The 12,744-nt window shown below is 43.7% G+C and overlaps 2 protein-coding genes across 2 annotated transcripts in view; both read right to left on the bottom strand.

Annotated features, from left to right (window-relative positions):
• Nucleotides 1-12,744, bottom strand: part of TBCEL-TECTA (TBCEL-TECTA readthrough) — a 167,389-nt gene that overhangs the window by 22,179 nt on the left and 132,466 nt on the right. Inside the window, exons 20-26 of the mRNA NM_001378761.1 lie at nucleotides 11,088-11,471; nucleotides 8,891-9,177; nucleotides 6,942-7,222; nucleotides 3,929-4,039; nucleotides 2,532-2,734; nucleotides 1,095-1,258; nucleotides 387-635 (exon numbers count right to left, since the gene is read on the bottom strand). Coding sequence (NP_001365690.1) covers nucleotides 387-635; nucleotides 1,095-1,258; nucleotides 2,532-2,734; nucleotides 3,929-4,039; nucleotides 6,942-7,222; nucleotides 8,891-9,177; nucleotides 11,088-11,471 — 1,679 coding nt within the window. The remainder of the gene's footprint in view (nucleotides 1-386; nucleotides 636-1,094; nucleotides 1,259-2,531; nucleotides 2,735-3,928; nucleotides 4,040-6,941; nucleotides 7,223-8,890; nucleotides 9,178-11,087; nucleotides 11,472-12,744) is intronic.
• TECTA (tectorin alpha) overlaps nucleotides 1-12,744 on the bottom strand; it is a 90,248-nt gene that overhangs the window by 22,179 nt on the left and 55,325 nt on the right. The window contains exons 14-20 of the mRNA NM_005422.4: nucleotides 11,088-11,471; nucleotides 8,891-9,177; nucleotides 6,942-7,237; nucleotides 3,929-4,039; nucleotides 2,532-2,734; nucleotides 1,095-1,258; nucleotides 387-635 (exon numbers count right to left, since the gene is read on the bottom strand). Of these exons, the coding sequence (NP_005413.2) occupies nucleotides 387-635; nucleotides 1,095-1,258; nucleotides 2,532-2,734; nucleotides 3,929-4,039; nucleotides 6,942-7,237; nucleotides 8,891-9,177; nucleotides 11,088-11,471 (1,694 nt within the window). The remainder of the gene's footprint in view (nucleotides 1-386; nucleotides 636-1,094; nucleotides 1,259-2,531; nucleotides 2,735-3,928; nucleotides 4,040-6,941; nucleotides 7,238-8,890; nucleotides 9,178-11,087; nucleotides 11,472-12,744) is intronic.

The following is a 12,744-nucleotide window of genomic DNA, read 5'->3' as shown; positions in this document are numbered from 1 at the left end:
AGATGCCTTGTTCATTAACCTGTGGTTATTGTCATTACATTCTTTCATTTGCAGAATTCCACATTCTTCCCAATTTGAAGTTCAAAGTAAACAGCACAGAATCCCCACTTTGAGAATAAAGCATCTGTAGTTAATGCCACATGGACGTGGGGTACCTACCAATATATTTCTGTGTGACTTTAGGCAAGTTACTTGATTGTCTGTAAAATGAGGCCTATAATATCTACCTCATAGGTTGTCTTGAGAATTAGATGAATTAATAAATGCAAAATTCTGGCCTTGTAGGCAGCCAACAAATATTAGTTTCCATTCCCTTCCTTAAAAAATGATGAGGACAATATTATACCTGAAGCTCTGAGAATGTTGTCTATAAAGAGGCTACTCACCCTCCTTCAATGATGAAATATCGGAGCTTATCATTGCTATCTCGGGTGGGTGTGGCATAGCATTTGTTGAGTGTTAGGATTAAATGTGTGGCGTCAGCTCCAACCACAAAAACCCCTACATACAGCACATCTCGAGTCGTCAACACTACTTCACCCTGGCGGTAAGGATGTTTGTAGGAGGCGTTTTTGTAGAGAGCCATCTTGGTGATGAAGCTGCCTTCTTGGGTTGGAACTGTCAGGTTAATTACACTAAAACGGAAACAATTATGAGACAGGAATCCAAAACAATGTTACCTATTCAATTACCTACCATTTTTCAGGCTGAGAATGCAGAGGGAAAGCAAAGCACGTAGTAGCAAAGTCTAAGGCTGTGCTGTCCAATACAGTACCTGCTAGCCACATGGGGCAATTTACATTTAAATGAAATGAAATTAAATAAAATTAAAAATTCAATTCCGCAGCCCCCTGAGCCACATTTCAAGTGCTGAGCAGCCACATGTAGCCACCACATTAAACAGTACAGATGGAATATTTCCATCGTCACAGAGAGTTCTATTGAACAATGTTGGTTGAAAGCATTTAGGCTCAAGAAACGTGAATTATGTTTTTCCTAGGGCATCAAAGACAAACGCTAGCAATTTTGATTATGCTAACCTTAACTGTCAAGGAATAGAAAAAGCAATGTGCACAGCCCAGGAGACACCTTACCTTAGCATAGGCTTCACAACAGAATCCAAGGAGATCTTGATATCCAGCTCATAAGCACATGAAAATTCCACATTGATCGTGCGGTCCCTGGTGATGATGTTGCCAGTGTTGTTGGCGCTTTCGATCCAGAGTGTGTTTTTATACATGATATGCGTGCCATTGGACTGCAGAACAAGGGGAAGTCAGAAATCGTTACATCTGGGAGTGAGTATGTAGCTTGCATATCAAATCCATATCCCTGAAAGTGGAGAAATGGCTTCCTTCCATACATAATTTAGAGGCCAGTATAAATCAGCATGGAGCTAGCCTTAGCATTTACTTGGGGGAAAAAAAAGTATTACAATAGATATCAGCAGCACCCTTCAGTCTGATAACCTTGAATACCCGTGGAAGGTGATTTCATCTACTACTGAATTCTAACCACTACCAGACCCCACTTATCTGTGGGACCCCAAGCTAGGAATAGCATGAACTATTGCCATTGCTGGGTAATAGAAATCTTCTTTTTCAATGCTTAATTCAAAATCTCTTCTCCACCAAATCCATCACCAGACATGCCTACAAGGACCAACATGAACAAGTGCAAGTTTCACCTCCTTACTCCTTTCAGCCTCTGGTAAAAGTTTTAAGGAATAGAGCCATGAATAGAAGACACAGAGCAAGATGGAAAAAGAAGAGAAACAAGATACTTTGCTAACCTATACACTGGATAATCTGACATTAAAAGTTGGGACCTCACTATATTTCTGAAGCCAGCTGTTTTTTTGTTTTGTTTTGTTTTGTTTTTAGCAACAGGGTCTCACTATCACCCAGGATGGAGTGCCGTGGTACATTCATAGCTCACTGCAGCCTTGAACTCCTGGGCTTATGATCCTCCCATGTCAGCCTTCCAAGTAGACACAACTACAGGCACTGTCACCACACCCAGCTAATTTTTAGATTTTTTAAAAATAGAGACAGGGTCTTGCGATGTTGCCTGGGCCGGTCTTGAATTCCTGGCCTCTAGCAGTCCTTCTGCCTTGGCCTCCCAAAGTGCTGGGATTACAGGCATGAGCCATAGCACTTGGCCTGAAGCCACCTGTTAAATGAGGTTCGGGACTCCCTTACCCCCTGAAATAGCTAAGCCTATATGTATTTGCCTCAAAGAGCAATAGAAGCAGAAAAGAAGACACAATCCTGTCCATATACAGGAGAAAGAACCACAGTAGGCATCCCAAACCAAGGAAAAAACACATCACTCTTTCAACTCCGTCAATCACTTAGCATCAAATGATGACTGCTCTTGCTGTCTTTCATGTTGCACATGCCTATTGCTGTTTTCTAAGGAGCATATTTCTAAGCAGATCACCCTGAAGTTGGTTTTCAGGACAATAAATGTGCAAACACTCGAAGCTGTCGCTGCCTCTGCCAGGTGCTCTTTCCTGCTGCTTTTCTCACCTGCACAATGTTTCCACAATTCCCTTTGGTGTTGTTGATCTGAAAGGAGATAAAATCTTCCCCCTCGATGCCGGTGCACTGTCTGTCATTGATCCTCACGCCCTCCCTCTCAAAACCGAGCTGGAAGAGCTTGCACTTAGATATGGACACTTCCATTTGGGCTGCTTTGCAGGTCACCTCTGCATCGATAATGTCATGTGAGTCTGTGGGAACAGTTATTACGAAAGGCAAATCAGTGGAGTCGGTCTTGCTGCAGGAGTGGGAGCAAAGCATCCCATTTCCATTCTCCTTTAGAAGAGGCAAATGACCTCCACTCCAAGGCTGCAGCATTTCTAATTATGCTTTGATCAAACCAAATGAGCATATGAATTCATTCAAAGCAGTAACCTGGGCATTAGCAGAGCCTTTTTAAAAGGATAAAAATGCTAATAAAGTGTCTTCTGTCTTTTCTTTACAAACCCAGGTCTTCCCCCACCTTGCTGGTGGCAGCTACTTTTCTGTAAGCTGCATACTGAACATGCCAAATCTGGCACATTGTGGCCTGGCTGAAGAACATGCCTCCAAGGGACAGCAGCACTGGCCAGACCACATCTGAAGCCCCTGCTGATTCAGCTCAGCAGAACCCTAGTGATTCCCAGGTGAGCACTAGGAGCTTGCTTTTTGACATGGCAAGGCACCGATTGACATTTTCTCTTGAGCATATAAACACTGGCTAATAAGCACTACAGAAACAGAGAAAAACATTTTATCTGTTTAGGTGAAGCCCTTGTCCCCTCCTAAGGAGCCTTTGGTCAACCAGATTTTCATTCCCGAATGCTGTTAAATTTAGCAACTGCCTCTGCGTTATTTGGTTCAGGAAGGGGAGCAGAGATGGAAGGCAAAGCAGTTCTGCCTCAAGCAGCCATCCAGGAAGGCTCGGCAGTGGACAAGGCCATTTCCACACCAAGGGAGCTACAGTTAGGAACAAGTCCTGGAGTCCTAGTTATTTATGGCTTGCTTCAGACATTTCAGTTGTATATATCTTCAGGACCAAAAAACTTTGGGTCAAATAAATCTGGCTTTAAATAACATTCGTCCTAATTATTTCATATTGGCATCAAAATACCCTATTTCCTTGCGCATCTAAAAGATCAATTTGGACCTTTCTGATGTTGAATGTGGCCTCAGATGGAACCGGCTGGTTCCATTCATGTACAAATTTGTGTGTTATAATGTATTGAAGAAAAGGATGTAGCTGTACTTTGAAGCAGTCAGATTGCTTCCTTGTTCTGCTTAAATGCTCCTGAAAGCTTCACTATTTGGGAAAGCTTCACAAAGTGGGATGCATCAAGGTCGTTCCCCAGAGCAGCATCTCCCATGGGGCCTTTCTGGGTGGGGAGGTGGCCCATGTCACTCACTATTTCCATAGGGGGGTGGCTCGATGCAGCCACACAGCTCCCTGCCATTGCCCAGCTCGCAAGTTCGGTTGGGACAGTCCGCCCCCACACAGGGATCTTCAACCACTCCTGCTAAAAAGAAAAACACACAGAAACATGCACAACTTCATTTTCACACCTACATGCGGTAGCTTTTGGTTCCACTCCAGACTTGCCACTTTAATCACATTGGAAATGGTCAGATGGCAGCTGCCAGTTAACAGACAGGGCAACCTTCCAGAAAATAATGTCAATAGCTAGCACATAGGTGCTTGCTGTGGGCCTGGATTAGCTTCTTTGACCCTCACAAATACTCCTCAAGCTAAGTATTATAAGCTCTATTTCACAGTTGAAACTTGCCCAAGGTCAAAAGTGAAGGTAAGTGGTGAAGACTGAATGCACAGATGCTCTTAACCCCAGTCATCTTACCATGATTAAGGCACCTACTACACTATAACACAATGATTTGCACTGATATTTATATAAAGAGTAGCATCCAGATCATTTATCTCTACATCCCAGCACTCAACCACCTCATGGTTTGTGCACAATAAATACGTGCCAATAATGAACATATTAGGGCCAGTAAGATCCCAGAGAGGTCTCCCACACCAGGGCTTCTTAGTCCTTTCCGATTCTTGGTCCACTTTCCCCCATGATCTTCTACTTGATTTTGTAAAAAGAGACAAAGGAAAAACTTCCACACAAGTCACCAGCATTGACTTAGATTCATGGTGATGTTTTGCCAAAAGGGGAAAACTATAAGTACAATAAAGATGTTATGTGGAGTATCATCACGATGTTATTATGAACAATATTTCTGTAACAGATGAGATCACCTGCAAGATAGTCAACGCCTCGGTCTGAGAACCACTAATTAGGAGCATTGTCTTTTAGATGTTCATTTCTTTATTTAAAGAATCGCTCTGCCTATCAAGACAGAATATTCCTCCTGTTCATCACAGTATATGATGGACAGTGCTAAAGAAACAACTGTTCAATCCCAGCATGAGCCAAGTTGGCTTCAAGAGTTTTTTTAAAAAGAGTTTTAAAAGGATGCAGAATTTCATTTAGACAAGAGGAATAAATTCAAGAGATCTACTGAACATCAAAGTGGCTATAGTTAGTACCAATACACTGTACACTTGAAAATTACCAACAGAGTAGAGTTTCATGTTCTCACCACAGACACACATACCCACACACACAGGGAAAACAGAATTTAAAAACAAAACAAAAATCCCAAGCTGCCCACAGCTCCATACACCTCTTCTGACTCAGCTGCCACGCCCCTCTGGTAGGTAACTAATTACATTACGTGGGAGTGCATGGATGGCTCAACATCAGCCTGTCTTAATTTCTGGAAAGACAACTGAAAGAAAGACATCAGCATAAGTTAAATACATTTATTTTCAAAAAGCTCTCTTTTATAAAGATCCTTTCACTGGCCCAGTATGTCCAATACCTAGCACAGTGCTAAGCACATAACAGCCACCAAGCGAAAGTTATGATTCACCACCTCTGTACGAGAATGACAAACAACAGAAAGATGGTGCAGAGGTTACAGCCCACAGGAAGGACACGTTTATTTACAAACGTGGTGGTCCATCTGCCAACTGGCAAATAAGACATGCCCTTAGATAGAGGGAAGCTTTGAGTATTTTTTAATGATATATGTATTTTTTTAAATTCCTGACAATTTGAAAAGTTCAAAACAGTTAATTTTTAAAGTCATTGAAAGTATTCTTATTCTTCTTCTTATTATTATTATACTTTAAGTTTTAGGGTACATGTGCACAATGTGCAGGTTAGTTACATATGTATACATGTGCCATGCTGGTGTGCTGCACCCATTAACTCGTCATTTAGCATTAGGTATATCTCCTAATGCTATCCCTCCACCCTCCCCCCACCCCACAACAGTCCCCAGAGTGTGATGTTCTCCTTCCTGTGTCCATGTGTTCTCACTGTTCAATTCCCACCTATGAGTGAGAACATGAGTATTCTTATTAACACAGCAGAGTAAAATACTAATAACAAATATTTCTGTTAGTTTCCAACAGAGACTAGGAATTTGCTTGTTAACAGTTTCTGAAATCACTGAAATGTATTTTAATTAACTGCATTGTTTTTAGGCTCTGAATTAAGTGTATTCCTACACTTAATCAGGTTTGGTCTGCGAATTTACCAATGTGTGTGTATCATCTTGGAGTCAGCCTATTTTCACAGTGGTACCTGTATACACACTGGGTTGGTGTTGTGGGTCAGAGAACAAAACACACATTCCATTGGCCACACTAGTGAGAGTGACCATTTATGTATATGGACACACATGTATGTCTATGGCACATTTATATGTGTTTGTATACATCTATAATTGTTCTCCTATTTGATTAACACAGTAAGAAAATGAACAAATTGAATAATAGAAATACACATCAAAATAATTTTCTTACTACAGAAAAAACCCCACAAGATTCTGTATATCTTTATTTTACCAGCTGATCTAATATATGTACTCTCCACAGTCAATCGAACTGCAGCTTCCTTTGAGCCCAGGTGGACATAACCAGCTCAGTTCCCGCTCTGCCTTCCACCTGCCCTGTGCCTTCGCTTTCTGATAGAGGACGGCCTCATGTTAAAGGAGCCAAGGTGGAGCTGAGTTTGGGAACTAAAATCCATCAGGAATCCCACACTGTGTCCCTCTACCTCATAAGCCACTAACCAGGGCTCTTCCAACCCAGAGAGCCCCATCTTCCCACGTTTGTTTTCCAAATCCCATAACTGGACAGGAGCCGTAGGTGGGTTAGGCTCCACGGGAGGGGCCCGTCACTGAATCTCGGCTGCAGCTCACAGCTCTCTACTATCCAATCCTGGAAGCAGATCTATGAGTAAATCTGGAGAGGACCAGTCATCCCTAGAAAAAGCAATGCTACCAGCAAAGCTGTTCTTTTCACTGAAAATGGAATTCACAGAAATAAAATAATTCTCTTACAGCAATTCTCCTTCTCAATCCACTCGGTGCTAAGGATCCCGAAGGAGCGGCAGGCCTCCCCGTAGGCGGCCAGGGAGCCGCACAGCTGGAACTTCTTGTGGCTGTAGCAGCCGTCCAGGTAGCAGGACTCGTAGAATGGGAGGGGATCGAGAAGCCCATAGCAGGGCTGGAAGAAGCCCTTCATGTCGGTGAGCTTCAGGCAGTAGCCATCACCCTGCATCTTCTGGATGTGCACATTGTCACACATGGCTGCATACTGTGAGAACTGCAGCTCGTTGCAGCTGGGGGCAAGAGGTCTGGTCAGACTGAGTGAAGCAAAAACAGCCATCTGAGATCTCCAATGGAAGGTAAATTGCATCTGTACCTGTTTTGCTACCCCTGAAGCTAGTGCATTGTGCCAATTCCAACACTAGCTTTGTGACCTTTGGCAAGTAAGATACTGCTAGTCTCTATTCTATCCATCTAAGAAAGTAAAACGGTAATTCCTGTTGTTTATATCACTGAAATACAGTGAGGGTAAAATGGAATGATGGATTAATGGCCAAAGTGCCACATGAAAGGCCGATATTGATATAGTAAGCATGAACACTTTGACATAATTGATTGATATGATTGATATAATAACCATTAACAGGTATTGATATAACCAATAACAATGATAATAGTAATGATACCTCGTGGAATTAAAGATTTGAAAGGAAGGTTTCTAAGCCAGTTCCACTTTAGCCATTAGGGGCCAAAAGCTAAACATTACAAGAAAGTTGGTGTCCAGTTGATAATAGTTTATTTAAAAAGGAAGGGGAGGGAAGGGAAGGGAAGGGAAGGGAAGGAGGGAGGGAAGGAGGGAGGGAGGCAGGCCGGCCAAATCCAAACAGAATCATAATTCCTCAGGAGGAACTGAACCTTGCCTATCTTTGGAAACACTACAATGGCTTAATGTAGTGTTCTAAATGTAATGTCCAAAGTTCTCTCTTTTCTATCTGTAGGTCGATGCATGGTATTCTAGAGTAAGCACCAAATTAGGAATCCTAGAATCTAGTCCTGGCTTTGCCATATATGGGGCCTCCTCATGTAAGTCATTCACTGTCTTAGTCTCTGTTTTACCTAGGAAAGGAAGAGATTGGACAAGATATTGCCCAAGAATTTTCACAGCTCTGAGTCCCATAATTCACAGGATAGTCTAATATATGATACATTGTTCAGTGTCCACTTGGGGCAGAGTCAAAGAGGCTTAAAGTGTGATTTCCAGGACTGGGGATTTAGCTGATATTTAGCTGTAAAGCAATGTGATTGAGCCATTGTACAAGTGGAGAACTAACAAGAAAGAGAAGCATGTCTACAGATCCAGAAAGGTATCCACATATTCAGCAGCCCTGAGGGGCCCTAAATTTAAAACCTTTGGAATAACTTCTTTAGCTCACTCTCTCTCTGCTGGCCAGGGGTGGGCCTGATAATAACCTTGTAACTTCTGTTTTTAAAAAAGGCTTTCCTGATTCCCACCAACTTCTGCCTACACAACCACAGCAAGCCTTCTTGTAAGAGGCAAGGACACACAATTAGACCCAGCATTAAGGGAGTCAAAGATAGCCCTTCTTCTTCTCAGTCACCTCTTAATTCCACACCCAGCAGAGGTGCCTAGGTCCCATGTGGGCAGCTGGTCAAGGCCTCAGAGTTCTCATCCTGGGCACACTCTTCTGTTTAGCCAAGGGCTGGATGACATGAAAATTAGAGTTATATCATCTAAGCCCAACTCCTTCCTCTGCAGTTCACGAAATTACTGGGGTCTCTGATGTGCCTATTTTTAGCATCAAAACTCCAAAGAGCTTTGGCTCGTCTCTGTAGGAGAGCAGGGGCAGTGCTAAGGAAAAGGCATTCCTCATTCACACCACCCATGGACGTGAGAGAACTTGGGCCACCAAGTCTAGTGGCTTGAACTCCTACACCCTCACCTCTTCTGCATGCCATTGGTTTTCCAGCTCTGGGCCAGCACCACGCTGCTTACCACCGGCTTCCCTCGCAAGGTCACATAATCATCTGTTAGGTCCCCGTTGAAGTTGCCACAGAGACCGCACACTTTGTTCTGCAGCCTCTCGCTGATGCTGATTTTAATGACGTTGAAACCATTGTAGTATATCTGGATGTCTGGGCTGGTGTCAATCACCAGAAACCCCTCACTGCTGTAGATTTTGGTTGCCAAACCAGTTATAAATGGAACATTCACTTGTGTGCCATTCACCTATTGGAGGAGGAAAAAAGAAAATAATTACGCTTAGAGTAGGTGTTGGCAAACTTGTTCAGGAAAGGGCCAGGGAAAATATTTTGGGTGTCGCAGGCCCTGTGATCTCTGTCTCAACGACTCCATTCTGTCCCTGCAGCATGACAGCAGGCATAGACAATATACAACTAAATGAGTGTGGCTGTGTTCCAGCAAAGCTTTATTTACACAAACAGGCAGCAAGCAGATTTGCTGGCCCCTGCCCTAGAGTTTAAAGGCATTCACTCATCTTACTGTGTAGTTGCCCCAAAGGAAGCAAACTATGGAGCAGAAGTAGGGGAGAGGAGGTGAGAGATAAGGAAACCTTAGAAAAGTATAACCCACAATGAATGGCTGGATTTGTGTCTAAAACTTTCCCCAGCATAAACCAATGACTGAAAATGAAATCCCAATCCTGTGCCAAGGAGAGTCTAACACAGTTAATATGGATCTGGGCATCATTGCCATATTTATCGTTTTCTTGCTTATAATGTTCAAACTGGAGGTCCCCCCAGAGGACCTATACACACATTATTTTCTGCATTTGTCATTTTTCTGCTTTCTAACATTTTCTTTCCTTAGCCCTTGGGACAGAATATAACTTGCTTTTCCTGTACTTACAAAATAAAACTATTCTCCCCAGGCTATTAGTAGCTTTTATACCTTAAAATAAATGAAAAAGTAGGCACCTTTTTCAAAAATGAGTCTCTACTGTTTTGACTAGCTTGGGGTATTTTGTTCAACCACAATGTCAGTTTTGCTCTCTTGGGTGGTCATTTTTGTTTTCTAGCTCCTGGATTCTGGACCAAGGCTGTCGTGTTGATGTGGGCCAATTTGTGAAAGGAATGAGAATGTTAAAAACAGTGGCACCTTTCATTGAAGTTAAAACCGGTATTAAATTTCAGATTCTTCATTTTAAGCTCACAAAATACTGCTGCTCTTTTGCCTGATGCTGGATACGCTATTTGATGACTCTTCAATTAAAGATACACTCAAGGCCTGATTATCTGAGCAGGTGGAAAACAGATACACACAATAACACTCAATTCCAAAAATTGTTAATGTGGCTGTCTCCGGGTCCCTGCCTCTCTGTGCTCACAGTGCCAGGGCCTGGCTCCATCCTTCCGAGTGACCTGCCACAGCAGCCTGCTCTAGCTGAGAGGCTGGGTCACCGTCAACAGTGCATCTGAGCAGATGCTCTTCTTAAATGGAAGGGGTGGGAGGAATTCAAGTCGGAGAGCCATATTTGTTGTGAGGATGGGTGGGGGGTTTACATTTATTTACACACAGGTGTAAGATAAACAAGAAACCAGGCAATGGGCCTAAGGAGGAGCCAACCTAAGAGAAATCCACCAAGAGCAGCCTCCCATTTCCTGCCCCTCAGCATGTCATCACGGGGCCCTCGGATAATGGGGGTGTGAGTCAGGTTTTTACTCAGATTGGTGTTTTTTAGGCAAGTGCTTGCTTTCCCTTAGCTTATAGAAAGGATGGCAAAGATGAAGGGTGGGTCTTACTACAAGAGGGCAGAGCCAAGAATAATCTTAAGGGCTGTTAAAAACAAATGAGATGCTTTTTGGAAAGCAATCAGGGTAAAAACTGATTTATCTAACAATTTATCACCTGAAGCTCTATTAGCGCCCATGCCATTGCCTGGTTCTGAGACCCTGCAAGTCTCCTGCCTTTGGAATCATCAGCCAAGAACCAAATGGTGTCCATTCTCAGGCTTAAAACATCTTCATACTTTGATTCTTTAAAACCTGGTCACTGTGTGTGGAACACCATGAAGCAACAATCTATCCTACAACTTGGCTATCTGGGAGAACCCTACACAGTCCCCTAGCCAACCCCTTGTTTCCGGGCCCCTTCTTAAGAATGGCCGCCAGGCTGGTTACCTTGACCGTGTTCCGGTCGTTGATGAGAATCTGCTCTTCGTTAATGTAGAAGTAGACGGGCGAAATGATGGTGAGGTTGGGGGCCGACCACTTGTCGAAGTTGATGATAAGCTGGAAGGAGATGTCGGGCAGTTTCTGGCAGATGGTGGACAGCACGAAGGCGCAGTTGGCTGGGAAGCGCAGGAAGGCGCCGTCGAAGGTGCGGAAGACGCCGCCGCCGGCCGCCAGGCAGTAGGAGGTCTTGGTGCTGAAGCAGCCGCGCACCCCGTTGCGCAGCGCACACTCCTCGTCTGACTTGCATTGGCGCGGGTCGCACTGAATCACGTTGCGACGGAAACAGCGGCAGCGCCGCGTGCAGTCGCTGTTCCAAAATAGCTGCTTGGGCTGGAAGAGAGGCGCCGTTTGCATTAAATTCAGACTGTGGTCAGGGCTGGGGACCCGAAAGCCCAGTCCCCCTCGTCTTTTATCAGGCTTGGCTAGCCTATCTTTAATGGGGCTGGAATTTGTAGGAGGCAGCAGTGGGGAAACGGCCTCAACTCAAATGCTCCATCAGTTCCATGCAACTCAGACGCCAAACAATACGCAGTTTTGACACGCATTTATTTACTTACTTATTAATTTATTTTTAGAGACAGGGTCTCATTCTGTTGCCGAGGCTGGAGTGCAGTAGTGCAATCGCAGATCACTGTAAGTAACCCGGAACGCCTGGACTCAAGCGATTCTCCTATCTCAGCCTCCCTAGTAGCTGGAACTATAAGCACACGCCACCACACCCAGCTAATTTTTGTATTTTTTGTAGAGACGGAGTCTCACTATGTTCTTGAACTGCTAGGCTCGAGTGATCCTCCTGCCTCAGCCTCCCAAACTGCTTGGATTACGGGTATGAGCCACCACCCCGGCCATAACTTGATTGATTTTAATCAAGAACTCTGAAATCTTTGTGGCTGGATTGTAGAACTAATCACAGTCAACCTGAATGTGCAGCTGTTAGAGGAACTAGGTAAAGAGGAAGAATATTTGGTAGAAAATATTCATCAAGGAATCACACTTCTAACAAGTACAGACTCTGCTTCAAAGATGAAATTAAAATTCACTCAAGAATGATAAATTGGCCCTTCAAATCTTAAACAGTCGTAAGAAAGCAATGACCAACACTTCTGATTAACCATTTCACATTTCACAATCCTCACCCTTCCTTGTGTCTAGTCTGCTTCCAATTTACTTCTGATGGAAGTACCTTCATTCCCACGTGTCCTGAATGTGAAAGATCCAAAGAACACCTGGGGTCCATGAAAGGAACGTTTTGGGATCAGACCACCTGGGTTTCAATCTAGTCCTGTATCCCCACCTGTGCCATCTTGAGTAGCGTTACTCACCTCCCCAGTGTCACTTTGCTCATTTCTAAATTGGAGATATTAATAATATCTTGTGGTTGAGTGCAGTGGCTCATGCCTGTAATCCCAGCACTTTGGGAGGTTGAGGTGGAAGGACTGCTTGAGCCCAGGGGTTTCAGATAAGCCTGAGCAACACAGTGAAACCTCATCTCTACTTCAAATAATAATAAAAATAATAATAATAATAGGCCAGGTGCAGTGACTCATGCCTGTAATCCCAGCACTTTGGGAGGCTGAGGTGGGTGGATCACCGGAGGTCAGGA

This window comes from Homo sapiens, chromosome 11 (genome assembly GCF_000001405.40).
Source record: "Homo sapiens chromosome 11, GRCh38.p14 Primary Assembly".
In the NCBI taxonomy this organism is placed as follows: domain Eukaryota; kingdom Metazoa; phylum Chordata; class Mammalia; order Primates; family Hominidae; genus Homo; species Homo sapiens.
The sequence above is the reverse complement of the archived record's forward strand: the minus strand, read 5'-3'. Positions and strand labels throughout refer to the sequence as shown.